The sequence below is a fragment of the Homo sapiens genome, chromosome 1 (assembly GCF_000001405.40).
Source record: "Homo sapiens chromosome 1, GRCh38.p14 Primary Assembly".
Classification (NCBI taxonomy): domain Eukaryota; kingdom Metazoa; phylum Chordata; class Mammalia; order Primates; family Hominidae; genus Homo; species Homo sapiens.
Window position 1 is genome coordinate 6,337,441 of NC_000001.11, and position 19,480 is coordinate 6,356,920.

Here is a 19,480-nt window from a genome sequence, read left to right on the forward strand (position 1 = left end):
CCTGGTCGCCTCTGCTCATTCACTTATTCATTCATTCATTTGCTCATCCACTATCGGTTCCATATCTATTATGGGCCAGCAGAAGCGGCCAGGAAAGGGAAGTTCAGGATCTAGGGAGTTCCTCAAGCTCAGTACCCCTGACCTTTGGCCTGCATCACTCTCTGCTGTGGGGACAGCGGGTCCCAGCCATGCTGAAAGCCTGAGAACGCCTTTCTGTCTCCCTGCCTCTCTCCCCATCATCCCAAACTGCTCGGCTGGGCTCGGTGGCTCATGCCTGTAATCCCAGCACTTTGGGAGGCCGAGGCAGCTGGATCACCTGAGGTCAGGAGTTTCAGACCACCCTGGCCATCATGGCGAAACCCTGTCTTTACTAAAAATACAAAAATTAGCCAGGTATGGTGGCTCATGCCTGTAATCCCAGCTACTCAGGAGGCTGAAGCAGGAGAATAGCTTGAACCTGGGAGGCAGGAGAATAGCTCGAACCTGGGAGGCAGAGGTTGCGATGAGCCAAGATCACACCACTGCACTCCAGACTGGGCAACAGAGTGAGACACCATCTCAAAAAAAAAAAAAAAAAAAAAAAGAAACCTGCTCTTCAGGGCTTCCTCTGAGGCTATGGCCTCTGATGGACCACAAAGGGGGCTTTCATGGCAGAAAATCTGCAAAGCAGATCCCTTCCTGGCATTTTTGAAGCCACCAACTCCTGCAATGACAAAGGGCACTGCTGACTGGGCCCTCACAAGCAGGAAGGTCCTAGGAAGCAGGAGAGCGCGGCAGGCCATCCCTCCTCTCCAGGAAGGGGCCAAGGCTCCACCCCCAGCACAGTCGGAGAAGAGCTGCGATCTCACAGGAGATGGCAGGGAACCCCCAAGGCCCCTAAAGTGGGGAACCCACCCAGCCCTGAGCCTCTCCCGAGTCGTGGGCGCTGCTCCTGTTGTGGGAGGTGCCCATACACCCCTTCCTGGGCCACATCCTGAGACCAGCATCCAGGGTCCCTCTGATGTCAGAGGTGCCTGCTGAGGGAGCAGCAGGCAATGGGAACGCAGACCACCTTCCACCCCAGGCCCTTGCTCAGCTCCATCTGCCCACCTGCCGGAGCTGGGCTGACACAGCCATTCTAATCAACCCTGCTGAGGTCCTCAGAATGTTCTAGATGCATAATCGTGCTTGCTACCGGCCCGTCATGAGGAAGAGGACTCAAGCCCCTCAAATGGCTGTGAGCTGGCACTCCACGGGGCAGCCACTGCTGAGGAACAGGCATGGGGAAGAGGAGGAAACCGGCCCAGCCTCTCTGCATGGGAGGACTGGTGACCTGGGAGGTGGCAGGGAGAGGACCAGGGGCAGGGGAAGAGGCCCGCCTTCCCCCTCACCTCCCGTCCCCAGCCTGGGTATAAAAAGAAGCGTGAGCTGGTGAACACTGGAGCCGCCCCCTCCTGCAGCGCCCAGTGGGAAGGGGAAGGGGGTTTCCATGGTTACCATGGCCAAGGAGGAGAATATTCAGATGAAAGCAGAGGCAAAGGTTCACCCAGTGAGCTTCCATCTGAGCCTGGTTTCTGGGGCTCCCAGGAGCAAGCACTGTCCTCTCTGGAGCCAACACCTCCCTACGCTTGAGGAGGGCAAGCAGGGCAGGGAGACCTGCAGAGGGGTGGATGGTGCGTACCGGCCTCACAGCCCGCGCCCAGCCCCTGCCATGGATGAGCTGGCCACGGGCAGCAGGACAGGCAGCATGATGTGCTCAGGCCGGACCCAGACAGCAGGGTTGAGTCCTGCTCTGGGTAACTGAACTCGTTTCCTAACCCCTCTGTGCCCCTTTCCTGTCTGCAAAATCAGGGCAATGGACATAGCTGCTCCCAGGGCCATGGTGGGAGGTGAGAGAGGTCTCATTGGTGGAAAAGGGGCCAGGCCCTGGAGCGTCCTCTGCCCTCAGGAGGGAAGCAGCTGTGTAGCCACGGCCCTTACTGCTCCAGTCAACACTGTCGCTCCCAGAAGTACCTGTGAGGATGTTTTCGGACATCACGTTGACCTGCACCTCCACAGAGTGCTTGGAGGTGTAGGTGATCTCCGCGCTGACATGCGCCACCTCACCGATGCACATGGGAGACAGGAAGTCGGTGCGCTCGACACGAGCCAGGGCGGCCACACAGCGCTCCTGTGGAGACAGAGGCAGTTGTCAGCCCAGGTCAGCCAGCCCAGCCCCGAGAGCCCCACCCAGGACATGCCCCCTGGAAACGGTCTTTGCCTTTGCTTTCATTCCCCACTGTGAAAGCAACCAATGTATCACCATTTATTGGCACCGCGGTTTTTTTTTTTTTTTTTTGAGATGGAGTCTCGCTCTGTCACCCAGGCTGGAGTGCAGTGGCAAGATCTCAGCTCACTGCAAGCTCAGCCTCCCGGGTTCACGACATTCTCCTGCCTCAGCCTCCCGAGTAGCTAGGACTACAGGCGCCCGCTGGGACTACAGCGGGCCTTCCGAGTAGCTGGGACTACAGCCACCACGCCCAGCTAATTTTTTGTTTTTTTGTTTTGTTTTGTTTTTTGTTTTTGAGATGGAGTCTCGCTCTGTCACCCAGGCTGGAGTGCAGTGGTGCGATCTCCCCTCACTGCAAGCGCCGCCTCCCAGATTCACGCCATTCTCCTGCCTCAGCCTCCCGAGTAGCTGGGACTACAGGCGCCCGCCACCATGCCCGGCTAATTTTTTTGTATTTTTAGTAGAGACGGGGTTTCTCCATGTTAGCCAGAATGGTCTCAATCTCCTGACCTCGTGATCCGCCCGCCTCGGCCTCCCAAAGTGCTGGGATTACAGGCATGAGCCACCGCGCCCGGCCTAGCACCGCGCATTCCTAAACACAAAAGCACAGGGATGTAGAGGAGCCCTGCAGAGTCCAGCCCAAAGCAACTGCTGCAGGCGATTCCCCAAGTGATGGGATCACCAGCTGCTTCTTCCTTTCTTCTGATTTTCTCACAATAGGCATGCATTATTTGCTTAATATAAAGTGAACAAATGCATACATACCCATTATGGAAAATTTGGGAAATACAGAAAAGTAGAAAGAAGGGGAACGTCACTCCTCCCATTCAAAGATAACCATGGTTACTATTTTGGGATCTGTCTTTCCAGGCTTTTTTCCCAAGAATCGGGGTGGGTTTTGTTGTCTCACTTGTTCGTCTGCCTGGCTCGTTTCACAGTTTTAGTCTAATATAGCTGTGCAAAAACTAAGTATACACCCTCACCTTCTGATTCTTTTTCATTCAACGTAGGAAAAATAATCTGCCTGTGTTGTGACACATTCTTTGCAATCACTATTCTTCTTTAGGCCGGGCGCGGTGGCTCATGACTATAATTCCAGAACTTTGGGAGGCCGAGGTGGGCGGATCACATGAGGCCAGGAGTTCGAGACCAGCCTGGCCAACATGGTGAAACTCCATCTCTACTAAAAATACAAAAGTTACCCGGGCGTGGCGGTGCACATCTGTAATCCCAGCTACTCAGGAGACTGAGGTATGAGAATCAGGTGAACTCGGGACGGGGAGGTTGCAGTGAGCTGAGATTGCGCCACTGCACTCCAGCCTGGGTGACAGAGCAAGACTCCATCTCAAAAACAACAACAACAACAAAACACTAAATACACTCTCACCTTGATTCTTTTTCATTCAGTATGGGAAAAATAATCTGCCCGTGTTGTGACATGGCTCTTTGCAATCACTATTCTTTTTTTTTTGAGATGGAGTCTCACTCTGTTGCCCAGACTGGAATGCAGTGGTGCAATCTCGGTTCACTGCAACCTCCGCCTCCAGGATTCAGGCAATTCTCCTGCCTCAGCCTCCTGAGTAGCTGGGATTACAGATGTGCACCACCACGCCTGGCTAATTTCTGTATTTTTAGTAAAGACGGGGTTTTACCATGTTGGCCTCAAACTCTTGACTTCAGATGATCCGCCTGCCTCATCCTCCCAAAGTGCTGGGATTACAGGCGTGAGCCACCGTGCCCGGCCCAACTATTCTTTTTAAAAATTTAAAAGTGGCCAGGTGTGGTGGCTCACGCCTGTAATCCCAGCACTTCGGGAGGCCAAGGCGGGTGGATCACACGGTCAGGAGATCGAGACCATCCTGGCTAACATGGTGAAACCCCGTCTCTACTAAAAATACAAAAAATTAGCCGGGTGTGGTGGTGGGTGCCTGTAGTCCCAGTTACTCGGGAGGCTGAGGCAGGAGAATGGCGTGAACCCGGGAGGCGGAGCTTGCAGTGAGCCAAGATCGCACCACTGCGCTCCAGCCTGGGCGACAGAGCGAGACTCCGTCTCAAAAAAAAAAATTTTTTTCAATGTTATTTATCCTTCAAATAGGCGACCCATTCTCATGATTCAAAATGTAAAAGGAACAAAAAAGCCTATGGTGCTGGGTCTACCTCTGGCCACCTCGTCTCCTGTCACACAGGACCCCTTGGCAGCTGGGTCCCATGTGTCAGATCGGACTCCGCATCTACAACCACATGGTGGGGCTCCCAGATGGTGGACATGGACAGGTGGTGCTGCACCCTGCTTTTCTCTCTTCATCTACCCTGGGGATCATCCTCTGTAGCTTTGGGTCTTAGTTCGTTGGGCTGCCAGAACAAAATGCCATAGCCTGGGCAGCTTAGACACAACAGAAATTTATTTCTCACAGTCCTGGAGGGGGGAAGTCTCCAGGGACTTGGGTCATTCCAAGATCAGGGACGGGCAGATTCCATGCCTGGTAAGGGCCGGCTTCCTGGTTCACAGACAGTGCTTCTCGTGTGTCCTCACGTGGTGGCCGGGGCAAATGAGCTCCCTCGGGACCCTTTCATGAAGACATTGATCTCATTCATGAAGCCCCACCCCCATACCCTCGTCACCTCCCAAAGGCCCCACCCCCTAATACCATCACCCTGGGGGTGAGAATTTCAACACATGAGAGACACGAACACTCAGACGGTGGCTGTGTCTGAAAGACTTCCTTATCCTTTCCAGTGACTTCCTTTTCATAGCACTCCAATGTAAAATTATTATCATTTATAGAGACAGGACCTTGCTGTGTTGCCCAGGCAGGAATGCAATGGCTATTCACAGGCACAATCATGCTCACTGCAGCCTCAAACTCCTCCTGGGCTCAAGCGATCCTCCAGCCTCAGCCTCCTGAGTAGCTGCGACTACAGGCACATGCAACCACACCTAACTTTTTTTTAGAAAATTACTTTCAATTGCTAGCCAGGTGGAATTGAACATTCTTCTTCTGTTAGAGATGTGGGGCACCCCCAGTTGATTCTCATTACAAACAATGCTGTGATGGGCACCCTTTCACTTAAACCGTTTTCTGCATTTGGGATTATTTTCTGGGCCCAAGGACAAATACTTTTATATATGGTCCTAAGTGTTTCTCGGAACAGCAGTGACTGGCCTGGCCTTTGCCACCTCACGGCATCCTGACCAACACTCAGAATTGACTTATTTCTCATCTTTGCTGAATAAATGACACAAAAGATGACCTTGTGTTTGAGCCATGGGGAATGTGAGTCTCCATTTCCCAGAGGACTGCCATGACTTTCTACTGCAACAATCACTTCCTTAGGACATTGACAGCATGACACTGAGGAGCCCTCAGGCTTCCCAGGGCGGGCAGGGAGCAGGTGAGGGAGGGGCCTGGGCCAGCTCCGACATCACTGGCCCAGGTGATCTTCACAGCACCCCGACAAGGGGTGCCACATTAGGCAAGCGTCCCAGAGCACACAGAGTATGTGGCAGTCACTTCAAGCCCTGGTGTGTGCGTCTGTGCTCTCCCACCTACCGCCTGCCGCCCCCAAAGCACCGACATGCAGCTCACCCACCTACATGAGGACTCACTGAGGTGGGGTTAACATGCAAGCTCCGGGGCCCACCCCAAACCCAGCACCTGCTTCTTTGGAGGTAGGCTGGGAGCCTCTGTCTGAGCCCTTTCCCAGGTGACTCTCCTGCACACAGGCGCAGGGACTCTGTGACTGCATCTGGGGCTGGGCAAGAAAAGTTCTAGAGCTGGCAAGGGTGGCCCGATGCTTCCCCATTCTGGTTTGCACGGGCTTGTCCCCCAGCAAACCCTGCCCTACTCACAACAGGTCACAGTAAAGCGATGCCTGGAACTGTCTCTTTCACCCCCAAGTCAATGTATGTGGCTATGGCGCCACCCATTGGCCAAAGGCTGTTAGGGCAGGGCTGCACAGAGCCAGGCAAGAATTAGGCACCGCCTCTGGGCAGGGCAATGCCCATCTTGGAAGGAGCCAAGCACTGTCTGCAAGACCTAAAAGTGGAATGAAGCCAAGTGTGTGTTGTTTGAGGGTGATTAAGTACATTACGGTATGCTATGCTGACACAGATCAAACAGACCTATGGGCGCATGCTTTTCCGGGGCAGAGGCCTTCCACCTCCCTGCTCTGCAGCTGGTTTCTGGCAGCATCTGTGGGGCCTCTCAGTGCTGGGTGTACAGAGGGGTGTGGGTCAGAGAAGCCTGGGTTCTAGCTGGGGGGACGGACGAGAAGTAAATGGGGCCACGCCACGATGGGGACAGCCCAACGATGTTAAGGCAGGGTGTGACTTCAGATGAGAGGCATCTGAGCTGAGGCCTAAAAGACCAGGTGTTAGGCAGGAGGAGGTAGGGGGAGCGTTGGTACCACAGGGAGAGGAAAGAGCAGCAGGAGTGGGGAGGTGGTGGGGAGCCACCAGAACACAGGGACGCAGTGGGAGACATGGACAAAGGTCCAAAGAGGCAGGCTGCCAGGCCTTGCAGGCCAGGATGTGAGGGGCAGGTCCAAGGGTCGCTCAGAGGAGGCACAAAAGCAGGTTCACTCAAAGAGTGACTTGAGGCAGGAGGAAGGCAGAGCGCACCTCTCTGTGCTGTCCCTCGGGACACCCCTCACACAGAACCATCCAGTAGCCTTCCCCACAGTGCCACGGGGACACCTGGTGATGGCTTCAAGCCTGTCCTTCATAGGGCAGAAGGCCACTGATGACCCTTGAGCTTGGTTCTCTCCCAGCTTAACATACTAAAGAAAAAAGTAGGGCCGGGCGCAGTGGCTCACGCCTGTAATCCCAGCACTTTAGGAGGCCGAGGCAGGTGGATCACAAGGTCAGGAGTTCGAGGCCAGCGTGGCCAACAGAGTGAAACCCTGTCTCTACTAAAAATACAAAAACTAGCCGGGTGTGGTGGCACATGCCTGTAGTCACAGCTACTCGGGAGGCTGAGGCAGGAGAATCACTTGAACCCAGGAGGCAGAGGTTGCAGTGAGCTGAGACCGCACCATTGCACCCCAGCCTGGGCGACAGAGCAAGACTCTGTCTCAAAAAAAAAAAAAAAAAAAAAAAAAAAGAAAAGAAGAAGAAAAGTAATGTCTCCCAGGCATCCACACAGGAGTCTTGCCACGGTCCCATTTCACTATCAGGAGACCCTGTGGGAGGATTTTGTTTTACTATCTGGCAGCCTGGGAGGCTGCAGAGGTGGCTCTGTGTGTCTGATGGGTACAGATGGCAGGAGCCGGGACCCAGGACGGCTCTGATTTGCTGGTGGGCGGCTGCTTCCCAGGAGCGGGCAGGGCTCTGGACCAGGCCCAGGGAGTCCCTGAAGGCCAGTGTGATCCAAAACTTCAATACATGGACTGACAAGTATTTGCGTTCCATGGGAAGATCTCCCAGCAGCCAGTGCCTCGGATGAGCCCCACACCTCCTGCTTCCAGGACTGCAGGAGCAGGAAAAGCCCCACCCTGCCCTGGGACAGAGACACGAGCTCCTGATCAGCACCTGCCCGGAAGTGCCCTCTGCCACGCTCTCAAAAGCAACTGGTATCACACGGCCCGTGAGGCACAGGCATCCCAGCAAACCACAGGCACTGGGTTCCTCATGGCCACAGGGCTTCCAGCCAGGACAGCAGCTGCAGAGGCAGAGCCTAAAAGAACAGCTCTGGGCCCTGGGTTCAAATCCTAGCTCTACTGCTTACTAGCTCTGTGACCTTGTGCAGCGACACAACCTCTCCACGTCTCAGTCTCTGTAAACACAGATAATAAATGGTCCCAACAGGCTGCTGCAGAGATTCGAGGGGATAACGAATGGGAAGAACTCGGTGCTTAGGAAACGCCCAGGAGAGGCAGGGATAGCTGTCTCTCTCTGACATGCGGGGATAAGGCAATTGACAAACGTCAAGTGCGTGGACCATGCCCGGCATCCAGTGAGGGCCCAGAGAGGGTGCGGTCTCATCACCATGCCCAGCCCCGGCCGTCTTCTGGCTGACGGCAGCTCTGAGGATGCAGCTGTCTGGAAAGCCACCTAACTGTTCTAGGCCTCAGTTTCCCCACTTGTAAAACAGGGTTAAGAACAGTGCCTGTCTCAGCAGGTGGCTGGGAAGACTACACAGGGAGAGGAAGGGTGAGCCCCAGCGTGGCCGCGGGCTCATCGTAAGCGCTTACTCGGTGGACGCTCTCCATGACGGTTGACGGTGCCAGGCCCGAGCTCCCAGCATTCATCAGATGATGCCTAAGCACGCTCTATGCTCAGTCTGGAGAAACCAAGGGCAGAAGTCCTGCCTGCCCTCGTGGGGCTACCACTCTGTACAAGCACAGCAGGTCAGGAGTGGAGCAGCAGCTGGAAGCAGAGAGGGAGCCAGGCCATCAGGGGCATGGCCGGACGCTGTGTTTTGTTTTTGTAGAAACAGGGTCTCACTCTGTCATCCAGGCTGGAGAGCAGTGATGTGATCTCAACTCACTGCAGCCTCAACCTTCCTGGGCTCAGGTGATCCTGCTGCCTCAGCCTCCCAAGAAGCTGAGACTACAGGCACAGGCCACCACACCTGGCTAATTTTTGTAGTTTTTGTAGAGACAAAGTTTCATCATGTTGCCCAGGCTGGCCTCAAACTCCTGAGCTCAAGTGACCTGTCCATCTTAGCTTCCCAAAGTGCTGGGATTCCAACATTTTTATGTAGAGCCTAGAAGAGGAGAGGGCAGGGCCCTGTGGATATCTGGGGAAAGCCAGTGCAAAGGCCCAAGGCAGGAATGCACCCAGCAAGTCCGAGAAGAAGCAGAAAAGCCAATGTGGCCAGAGGGAGAGTTGAGAAAGAGATGTAGGAGGTGAGGTCCCCGAGCCGCGCTAGGCAGAGACAGGGACTCGTGCGGACGTGCCTTTGGCTTTGGGCGAAACAGGAGATCTGGAGGGCTCTGAGCAGGCAGCACTGTGCCCTGACTCCACATCTCCCTGGCTACTGCTGGAGAACAAACCAGGCAGCAGGGACCAGCAGGGTGACCTGCCAGGAGGCTGCTGCAGTGATCAGGTGATCGGGTGATCGGAAGAGCAGCACCATTGGACCCAAAGTGGGGGTGGGCCTGGGGGTTGTGCTCAGATCTGGACTTCCTGGAAGGTAGAGCAGTGGGATCTGCTCCCAGAGCCTCATGAGTTTGGGAGGGAGAGAGGCTGACAGAGGCTCCAGGCTTTGAGCCTGAGCACCGGGGTGCTGCAGAGACCATTTACTGAGGGGAGGGAGGCTGGGAGAAGCAAGCCTGGGGCAAGGACAGGAGTGTCGTTTTTTTGCACATCAAGGCCAAGCAGGCCAAGTAGGCATCCAGATGGGCTGGCCAAGAGGCCCCAGCCAGAGACAGAACCTTGGGACTTCCAGCCACAGACTGGAAGGCACCACCAGGGGAGTGTGGATGCGGGGGTCCCCTGCCCCACCTAGGGCCCCAGCAAAGCCCTTCTAGGCACTGGGACTGTTCTCACCCCCACGCCCTGGGGCTGCCTGGAACTCAGAGACCCCCTCCTAAGCCTAGAATTTCTGGATCACCATCCTGGGGACCAGCCTCCCAGAGGCTTCTCCAAGCCAATGTGTCAAAACTGTCCCTCCAGCAGCCCCAGATCCGGAGAAGGAGCAAGGAGGGGCAAGTGTTCAAAGCACAGGTTCGAGGTATAGTCACAGCCCAGACCTACCATCTGCCTCCCCAGGTGGCCTCAAGCAAGTGTTCAATCTCTCTGTACCTCAGTTTCCTTATCTATGCAACTGGGATAATAAAAATAACAACAGCAGCTGGGCGCAGTGGCTCACGCCTGTAATCCCAGCACTTTGTGAGGCCGACGTGGGCAGATCACTTGAAGTCAGGAGTTCGAGATCAGCCTGGCCAACACGGTGAAACCCCATCTCTACTAAAAATACAAAAAAATTAGCCAGGTGTGGTTGTACACACCTGTAATCCCAGCTGCTCGGGAAGCTGAGGCAGGAGAATCGCTTGAACCTGGGAGGCAGACATTGCAGTGAGCCGGGATCGCACCATTGTACTCTAGCCTGGGTGACAGAGTGAGACTCTGTCTCAGAAAAAAAAAAACAAGACAAGAACAGCTGCCTCTCCGGGGTGTTGTGAGGATTCCATGAGCTAAACTTTAGCTCCTGAAGCATTCTGGAGCTTTGCAGAATGTCAAGTGCTGACCAAATGGCAGCAAAATAATTCCACGATTCTGAGTGACAGCATCACCCTCTGGCCTCCCAAGCCCCTCCTTCATCTTTCCTCCCCATCTTGGGGACTTTTCCTTCCCTGTGTCCATGCTCTCCTGCCAGGGACCCTCACTGTCTCTCTCTGGAAGGGTGCAACAGGAACTTGGGACTTGGCCCTCACCCCTGCCCCAGGCTCTCAGGCTCAGGCCCACCCTCCCCACAGCCACCAGAGGGTGCTCTCTGAACGTGACTGAGCTGCACCGGAGCCTCGGGTCCAAAGAATCAATCTACCCCCAGCCCAGCCAGCGAGCCCCTCCTAAACCAGGCACTGCCAGCAAACCCACTCCTGAACCTGTACCACACGACATCCCCCACATCCACGTCCAACCATCCGCACTTACTGTGGCTTGGTTCATTCTACATATGCACACACACATGCATACGCAGATACACACACACACACACGCACACACACACAGCTTCCACTCCTCCACTGAAACACACCCTACCCACTGTTCCAGGCTGAATGCATGTGCCATGCTCTGCATGGCTGTCCCCACCTCCCAAAATCCCTGTGTTGAAATCCTAACCCCCAAGGGAATGGTAGTAGAAGGCAGGGTCTTTGGGAGGTGATGAGAGAATGGGGACAGAGCCCTCACAAATGGGATTAGTGTCCTTATAAAAGGGCCTGAGAGAGCCACTCCTACCAAGCGAGGACACACAGGAAGTGATGTGACATCTATGAACCAGGAAACAAATGGGCCCTCAACAGACACGAAATCTGCCGGCGCCCTGATCCTGGACTTCCAGCCTCCAGGACTGTGAGAAATGCATTTCCATTGTTCACAAGCCAGCAGGCTGTGGTCTTAGTTCCGGCAGCCCAGGCTGACAGAGCCAGCAGCCACTTCCTGCATCTCAACAGTGTGGCTCAGAGCTCACAGTGCCTCCGCTGGTCCCTGGTCTCTGACGTGGCTTCCACTTGGCCTCTTGATAGAGTGGCATTATGCCCGTGCCCATGGTGGGGACCTGCACCTCACACTCCCACTCTCCAAGCTGGGGCTGAGTCTTCCTCTTCTCTGCCTCCCTGGAGGCCACAGAAGGTGTGCTGACCGAGCCCCATAGTGCAGAGGCTGCAGCTGCGGCACCAAGGCAGACGCCCTGTCCTCAGCACCCAAGGGCTGGCTTCCCCCCAACAGCCGCCCTTCAGAGAAAATGTCCCCTCCCCAGGGCTGGGGATGGCTGAATGTCCTACAGCAGCCCTGAGGTTGACACTAGACACCGTGCCCCTTGTCCCCAGCTTTAGGGTCACAGGGCCCTCCCGAGCTACACAATTTTGGGGCAGGTGGAGAGCTGCTCCCATTGTGGGCACAGTGGTACCAGGCCTGTGAGCTTCAAAGCCAGGAAGTGGCCAAGTCACAGAGAGCCACGGCACTTGCTATGGTGCCATGGCCACCAGGGTTGGTCAGGGCAGAGGTGGGACCTCTCCTACATCTGCTGTCTGGCCTCTTATGTCTCAGCTGTTGGCCATCACAATAAACTCCACCCCACGGAGGCGGGGCATGCTTCTGATCAGGGCCAGGTTGGCGGGGGACTCGGCATGGCGGGGAGTGGTGGAGGGAGGGCCTGTCAGCTTGCTTGACGCTTCATCTCTGGTGGGTTCCTACACCTCCTGGCTGAGGCCAAAACCAAGCATAGCTCTGAGGGTCCGGTGCAGAAATACTTGGGCCACTTCTCCCACAGTTCCCAAGGCCCAGTGCACAAGGGGAGGGAAGGCTGCAGGCCTGGCTCCCCGGGGAACTCCTGTCCTGAACTCACACTGGTGCGGCCTCCAGGGCCCAGAGGTATGGGGCCCAGACCCTTACCCCGTTCTGGCTGTTGCAATGCCGGGTGCTGATGATGGCGCCTGCCTCCTCGATCATCTTCAGGATGGTCCCCCCGTGGACATTGCCGGCCACGTTGGCATCATCTGGCCGCATGATCCTAGGGCAGAGGAGAAGCAGGATGAGGCCTCTGGAGAGGATGCCATTTGTGCAACAGTGACAATCCAAGGAGGGGAGAAGGTCCCCAAAGGGCTCAATGGCTCCCGGAGGAAAGAGAACCTTCCCAATGTTTGGGCTCTTCCTAGGTGGTGTGTTCGTCAGGGTGGGGTGCCACCTGCTAGGCCACGGAAGGGGCCCTGAGATGCTGTTTCCATGAGAGAGAAGGAGGGCAGAGGGGCACTTTCTCCCCCTGAAGCCACATGTCCCTGGACTGCCCTGGCAGGGAAGGGCTGATGGTGAAGACCTTTAAGCAAAGCCACAGGGCAGGGAGGTGGTGATCAGCCCTTGGGGTTCCCAGTGACCAACACACAGACTGTGACCCTAGGAGCAAATTCCCGGGACCACCACCACCCCCGTCAGGAGTCCCAGAGAAGCCAGGTAGCCACGGCTGTTCTGAGAACTAAACATGAGTCGCAGCTTCAAGACCCCAGGCCCTGTCAGCAGGTGAGCGCCTGCCCACTGCGCGCTAAGCTCCTCTGTGGGTCCCGGGGGCAGTGTGGAATCAGGCCCTGGATTGAAGGCAAGGAGCCTCCCAGGTCAGAAGGAATGGAAACGCCACCTCACTTCCCCAAAGAGGAACAACTTCATCCTTGCCGTGAGCAGCCGGTAGTGTGGGAGCTCCACGAAATCTCTGGAATCCCAACAAGCCAGCTTGGCAGTCCTGCCAGGGCAAGTTGCCTGGCACCTTCCCAGACAGCACCCAGCTGATGAAAGCCGCCTTCACAGGCCGAGGCCTGGAGACGAGTGACAGGCAGCGGGCACAGGTCCAGGGTCCAGCATCCACCTGCAGCTTGTGTAGCCTGCCCAGCCTTGCTGGACAGTGTGGGGGCCCCAGGAGCAGCGTCTCCCCAGGTCTGCATCTCCTCTCTGCTTCTCTAGCAGCTCCAAGGCTGAGCAAGTCACTCTCCAAGAGCGTTCCTGGCTCTGGCTCTTACTTGCTAGGTAACCTGGGCAAGCTGTCAGAACCCTCAATCCTCCATGTGCTCATCTGTACAATGGGTAGAATGACAACACTGCCTCGCCTAACTGGGAGATCACGCAGATCGCACACTCACTCCACAACAGCGCTGGCAGACACATGGTACACAGTAGATAGTCCACACGTTAACTAGGAGAATTTTTCCCTTTTTGGTAAGTATTTAGCCAACTTGGTTGGAAGCTCCAAGAAACCCACCATCTGGCCACAGGATGCCACTTCTAGAGCAAATGACCACAGATGTCCCCCAGCAACCCATAGCTGCCCATCCCCAGTGTCACCCCTCCACCCTGGGTGAGAGTCTATTATGCAAACCAGGGCCCACTTAGGCCAACTGGCTTCTGGCTCTGAGGTCAGGCAGGGCCCAAGGTTCCGTGGGAGGCTCAGGGACAGTTGCCTGTGGAGCGGCCGGCACGGCGTGACACAGTGGCCGGGGGATCCCCAGAGCACACAAGAAACCTCATTTGGCTTCTCAAGTGTTCATTTTAAAATACCTTTGTTTTTAAAAATTGAACTTACTCTATGAAAGGTTTTTGGGCTTTTTTTGTCTGAGTTATGAGGTAGCCAATTATAAGTCACAAAATGATTCTATCAGCCTCTTCCCTTTGTTTTCCACTTAGTAGGAAGGGCCTTCCCCGCACCAGCTGCAGCGGGCAGAGGGTCACTTTCCACACAGGCCTGTCCTGGGGGCACTAGCCAAGGCTGTGGGTGGGTGCGGAGAGCAGGGCCCAGCTCCTGGTTCTAGAGCAGTGAGGAAACATCAGCCCAGCATTTCCCAGGAGCAGCAGAGCCAGCCTCCAGAGCAGCCTGAATGACTGCTGCAGGCCTCACTTTGCCTGTCTGTGAAGTGGAGCCACACACAGCAGGCTGGCCCCCAGGAATGACACAAGGCCAGGGAGAGAAGACGCGGGCCAAGGGCTGCAGAGCAGCGGAGGAAGTGCTTTCATGCGGTGGGCACTGAAGACAGGACAGATATGTGGGTAGCCTTTAAGACAGAAGACCAGGGACAGTGCCTGAGGCCCCGAGGAAGAGCCTGGAGCCACCTGGCAACAAAGTGAGGACTCGGCACTTGGCGCTGTGCCATCAGGAGTACATGCCAGGAACTGCAGACCGCACGCCAGCTGGCTACCACGGGCCTGGCCGCCTTTCTTCGGCACCTTGGGTCCTGCACCAAGGACCATCCTAACTCCCCAACTGACCACCCAGGAAGCCAGCCCCTGCCCTCAAGGTCAGACACAACCCTCTCCCCTACAGGACCTGACTCCTGCCTGGGGACTGTGCTGTCACCTCCAATGCACAAGGCTCAAAGCCCAACTCACTTACCCCTTCTCCCTTTCCCCAAATCAGACACCTTCCCTCCAAGCCAGGGCAGCCAGTGAGTCCCAGCCTCAGCTGGGATTCCTTCCCATCCTGCATACCACCACCAGCTGCTCCACACCTGGCCCCTCCCTCTTCCCCTCCCCACCTCCCTCATTCCTTCCAAACAGCTCAGGAACCGCTGGATCCAGCCAGCCTCCAGGACCCATAAACAGCTCTGTCACTCTCTCAGGCCCCGCCCCATGGCCTGGCCAAGGCCAACCGTGTCCATCCCAGGACAGGGTCATGACTGCCTCTGTCTAAAGGCAGGCAGGGGTGAGAGCCAGGGAGCCAGGGAAGCTGCTGCGTCTCACTGGAGACTTCGTTTTCCCATTTCTTTTTTTTTTTTTTTGAGACGGCGTCTCGCTCTGTCTCCCAGGCTGGAGTGCAGTGGCACGATCTTGGCTCACCGCAAGCTCCGCCTCCTGGGTTCTCCTGCCTCAGCCTCCCGAGTAGCTGGCACTACAGGCGCCCGCCACCACGCCCGGCTAATTTTTTGCATTTTTTAGTAGAGAAGGGGTTTCACCGTATTAGCCAGGATGGTCTTGATCTCCTGACCTCGTTCGTGATCCCATTTCTAATAAAGACACGGGTACCGAAAGCACTTCATGTTCCTCTTTACTATTTTGTTTGTTTTTTGAGACAGCGTCTCATTCTGTCACCCAGGCTGGAGTACAGTGGCATGATCTTGGCTCACTGCAAACTCCGTCTCCTGGGTTCAAGCGATTCCCCTGCCTCAGCCTTCCGAGTAAGTGGGATTACAAGCATGCACCACCACGCCTGGCTAAATTTTGTATTTTTACTAGAGACAGGGTTTTGCCATGTTGCCCAGGCTGTCTCAAATTCCTGACCTCAGGTGATCCTAAAGTGCTGGGATTACAGGTGTGAGCCACCGCACCCGGCCCCTCTTTACTATTAAAAAACTGAAATACAGGCTGGGCGCAGTGGCTACTAGGGAGGCTGAGGTAGGAGGATCACTTGAGCCTGGGAAGAGTACGTTGCAGTGAGCCACAATTGCACCACTGCACTCAAGCCTGGGCAACAGAGTGAGATGCTGTCTCAAAAGAAAAAAAAAATTGAAATATATTTGGCTGCTGGGCGCGGTGGCTCACACCTGTAATCCCAGCACTTACAGAGGCCGAGGCGGGGGCGGATCACTTGAGGTCAGGAATTCAGGACTTGCCTGGCCAAAATGGCAAAACCCCATCTCTACTAAAAATACAAAAATTAGCGGGGCGTGGTGGTACACACCTGCAATCCTAGCTAGTCAGGAGGCTGAGGCAGGAGAATTGCTCGAACCTGAAAGGCAGAGGTTGCAGTGGGCTGAGATCATGCCACTGCACTCCAGCCTGGGTGACAGAGTGAGACTTCGTCTCAAAAGAAAAAAGAAAAGAAAGAAATACATTTGTCTATCTCTAGGATTCCTGGGGTTAAAAATTATCTAAAAATAAAGAAAGACACAGGCCAGCTCGGGCAACGGCACAGGCCTGGCCCAGTTCTGGAGGACTGTTTACTGCTGAGTCTGACATGTTATTCCTCCCCCAGCCCCCAACACGCTAATCCTGCACTTCTTCCCCCTCCTCTGACCCCAGAAACTTCAAGGAAAGAAAGCAAGCTGCCCAGGGTGGGGCCTTTCCTACGTGGCTGCCTTCTTTCTCTGGGCCTGGCCCCAAACATCCCCCGCTCTATCTTCTGCCTGCCGGGTCCTGGCAGCCAGTGACCCGGGCTGACTGCAGGTCTGGAATGTCACCCGGGCCCACAGCCCCACCCTTTTTCTGTTCCAGCTGCTCCTGTCCCAGATCAGAACCATGTCTGTCCAGTCCTTGTAGCATGAGTGGCAGGTGCTGGGGCCCAAGGCTAATGGACGCAGATGCTGCCAACCCACTCTCAGCCACCCCACTCCCGGCCGGTGTCCCCTCTGGAGGTGGCATCCAGCTGATGACAAGGGCTCTGAGGAAGCTGAGCACACATGGGTCAAGGAGCCACTCCCAGAAGGGCGCCACCCCACCTAATCTCTGGGAAAGCTTCCCAGAGGAAGTGACACCTTGGCCAAGTCCTGAAGGGTGAGCCAGGAGCAGAGGTCCGAGAAGGCTACGAGGAGAGGGAATGTTCGGGGCCCAAGGCCAGGAGTGCCCAGCGAGCTCCAGAAACAGAAAGCAACCCCACAAAGCTGGCGCATGGCCCAAAAGGGGGTGAAGAAGCGATGTCCTGAGACAGGGACGCAGCTGTCATGCAGGGCCTCAGGGCTGAGACAAAGTCTGGATCCATCCTGAAAGGAGGGGAGGCTGGGGAGGCTGAAGTCCAGGAACCACACAATCAGACACTGTTTGGGGAGGTCACCTCCCATGGCCTCTGCACTGGCCTCTCACTCCCCATGGCCTCTGCACTGGCCTCTCACCCCCCGTGGCCGCTGCACTGGCCTCTAGCCCCCCCATGGCCTCTACACTGGCCTCTAGCCCCCCCATGGCCTCTACACTGGCCTCTAGCCCCCCCATGGCCTCTACACTGGCCTCTAGCCCCCCCATGGCCTCTACACTGGCCTCTAGCCCTCCCATGGCCTCTACACTGGCCTCTTGTTCCCCCCATGGCCTCTGCACTGCCCCTCACCCCCCATGGCCTCTGCACTTGCCTCTTGCCTTGGCTGAGATCCTAACTGGCCCCGACTGCACAGCCCCAGGACCAAGTCACTCCCTTATCCATACCTTCCAGGGCCTTTCCCATCTACAGAATAAAGACTCAATCTCCTAGTAAGGCATCTGGAGCTCTCAGGGATTGGGAACTTTTCCGCCTCAACTCTCACTGCCCTGCGGGGCTCCGACCTGCACCTGCCAGAGCACTGCTGCTTAGCAGGCACGCCTGGCCCTTCCCACCGTTCTACCTGTCCCAGCAACGCCTGACCCACCCTTTGTGAAGGACAGGGAACCATTCACAAATAGGGGAGTGTAAGCGAATACCCACTCACAGAGGGCACCCGGCACCACCCACCCAAACCCCAGATGCACAGGGACACCCTGACCCAGGATTCCACTCGCAGAAATTTACCCCACAGCTGTTTCCACACACGGTTAAACGAAGCACTGCAAGGGTACTCACTGCACAGCCGTGTATAACGCAGGACATGGGCCAGCGCCGAGATGTCCACATAAGGACATAAAAGCAACAGCCACACATTGGAATATTGCTCAGCCTTGCACGAGGAGGAGGAACCTTCTCAGAGACCAGCTGTCAGGTGAAAAACAGCAAGGCACAGAGCCATGGGAGCAAGGTGACCACCTGGGGCGCAGGGACGACCATTCCAGGAAGGAGGTGTGACAAACCAGAGGCCTCCATGGCCCCCAGAGGAAGAAACTAGCTACTGGGCAGGGACCTCGGTGAGATGCCTGTGTCTTTTGGATGCCTTTAAACCATCTCAACCCTTTCAAATTAATAAGTGTTCTTTGAAAACGCTTCAAGGCACAGCTCAAAACTCAGATCTCATCACACCAGAGGCCGGCCAGCACTCATCCCAAGAGCGCCTACAGCAGCGGCCCTGGGGTCCAGCCCACATCCTCGCAGGACAGCCCGAGCCTGTTCCGCAGCGGGAGTGAGGCGCCTGGAACAATTGAGGGGAGCCTGGCAGGGAGGGGAGCCGCTCCTGCCCCCTGGCCTCACCTTGAGGGCTGGCCATGCCTCCTGTGCCCTGGGGTCCTCTCAAGGTGGAGTCCCACCTAAGCCACATGGAGCCTGAGTACTGGGTTGAATTGTGTCCCCCAAAAGATGTGTTTGAGAACGAACCCCCAGAAACTATGAATGTCACCTTACTTGAAAAGAGTTCTTTGCATCCAGATACAATCAAGATGAGGTCGCCGTGCCTTAGGAAGGGCCCTAACCCAATGACTGGTGTCCTTATAGGAACAGGGAAGTCTCGACATGAGACACAGGAGGTCCAGGTGAAGATGAAGGCAGAGACGGGAGCAGCCTCCCGTCAAACCTTCGGGAGCATGGCCCTGCCCACCGCTGGTCTCCAGCCTGAGGAAACTGCTTCCGGTTGTCACCTGCCACCTGGTTTGTGGCCATGCCCGGAGGTCTCTGATGCTCCCAAAGAAAGCAGCACTGAGTGGCACAGGGGAGCCCCGAGGCAGCAGCGGCAGCACCCTCAGCACCCTCAGCCCTGCCCAGCACCCTCAGCCCAGCTCAGCACCCTCAGCCCCGCTCAGCACCCTCAGCCCAGCTCAGCACCTGCCACCCACACCTGGCCAGCCCTGGACAGGCCCCTGTGCGGTGACCTTGGCAGCAGCCCTGCAGGGCACTGAACCCTGCCTGCCCCTTCCACAGCCCAGCACACGACCAGCTGGGAGTGTCACCAGTGTCTCTGACTCTGACACAAAAATGTCAGTGCTGGCCAAGCGCAGTGGCTCACACCTGTAATCCCAGCACTTTGGGAGGCCGAGGCGGGCGGATCATGAGGTCAGGAGTTTGAGACCAGGCTGGCCAACATGGTGAAACCCCGTCTCTATTAAAAATAGAAAAAAAATAGCTGGGCGTGGTGGCAGGCTCCTATAATCCCAGCTACTTGGGAGGCTGAGGCAGGAGAATTGTTTGAACCCAGGAGGCGGAGGTTGCAGTGAGCCAAGATCATGCCATTGCACTCCAGCCTGGGCCACAGGGTGAGACTGTGTCTCAA

At 56.1% G+C, this 19,480-nt stretch overlaps 1 protein-coding gene across 5 annotated transcripts in view, besides 4 other annotated features; it reads right to left on the reverse strand.

Annotated features, from left to right (window-relative positions):
- Window positions 1–19,480, reverse strand: part of ACOT7 (acyl-CoA thioesterase 7) — a 129,496-nt gene that overhangs the window by 73,169 nt on the left and 36,847 nt on the right. For all 5 annotated transcript variants that reach the window (NM_007274.4, NM_181864.3, XM_047443399.1 and 2 more), the window contains exons 2-3: window positions 12,309–12,426; window positions 1,993–2,149 (exon numbers count right to left, since the gene is read on the reverse strand). In NM_007274.4, the coding sequence (NP_009205.3) occupies window positions 1,993–2,149; window positions 12,309–12,426 (275 nt within the window). The remainder of the gene's footprint in view (window positions 1–1,992; window positions 2,150–12,308; window positions 12,427–19,480) is intronic.
- Window positions 480–1,142: an enhancer, noted in NCBI's record as "H3K4me1 hESC enhancer chr1:6397980-6398642 (GRCh37/hg19 assembly coordinates)". NCBI's record gives its function as "activates a minimal SCP1, AML or CMV promoter by ChIP-STARR-seq in naive and primed H9 embryonic stem cells {active_cell/tissue: H9 hESC(naive and primed)}" and the evidence as "EXISTENCE:reporter gene assay evidence [ECO:0000049][PMID:30033119]".
- Window positions 1,143–1,803: an enhancer, noted in NCBI's record as "H3K4me1 hESC enhancer chr1:6398643-6399303 (GRCh37/hg19 assembly coordinates)". NCBI's record gives its function as "activates a minimal SCP1, AML or CMV promoter by ChIP-STARR-seq in primed H9 embryonic stem cells {active_cell/tissue: H9 hESC(primed)}" and the evidence as "EXISTENCE:reporter gene assay evidence [ECO:0000049][PMID:30033119]".
- Window positions 2,466–3,126: an enhancer, noted in NCBI's record as "H3K4me1 hESC enhancer chr1:6399966-6400626 (GRCh37/hg19 assembly coordinates)". NCBI's record gives its function as "activates a minimal SCP1, AML or CMV promoter by ChIP-STARR-seq in primed H9 embryonic stem cells {active_cell/tissue: H9 hESC(primed)}" and the evidence as "EXISTENCE:reporter gene assay evidence [ECO:0000049][PMID:30033119]".
- Window positions 6,049–6,343: a silencer, noted in NCBI's record as "tiled region #5603; K562 Repressive DNase matched - State 12:CtcfO". NCBI's record gives its function as "represses a minimal TATA promoter and a strong SV40 promoter by Sharpr-MPRA in K562 cells {active_cell/tissue: K562}" and the evidence as "EXISTENCE:reporter gene assay evidence [ECO:0000049][PMID:27701403]".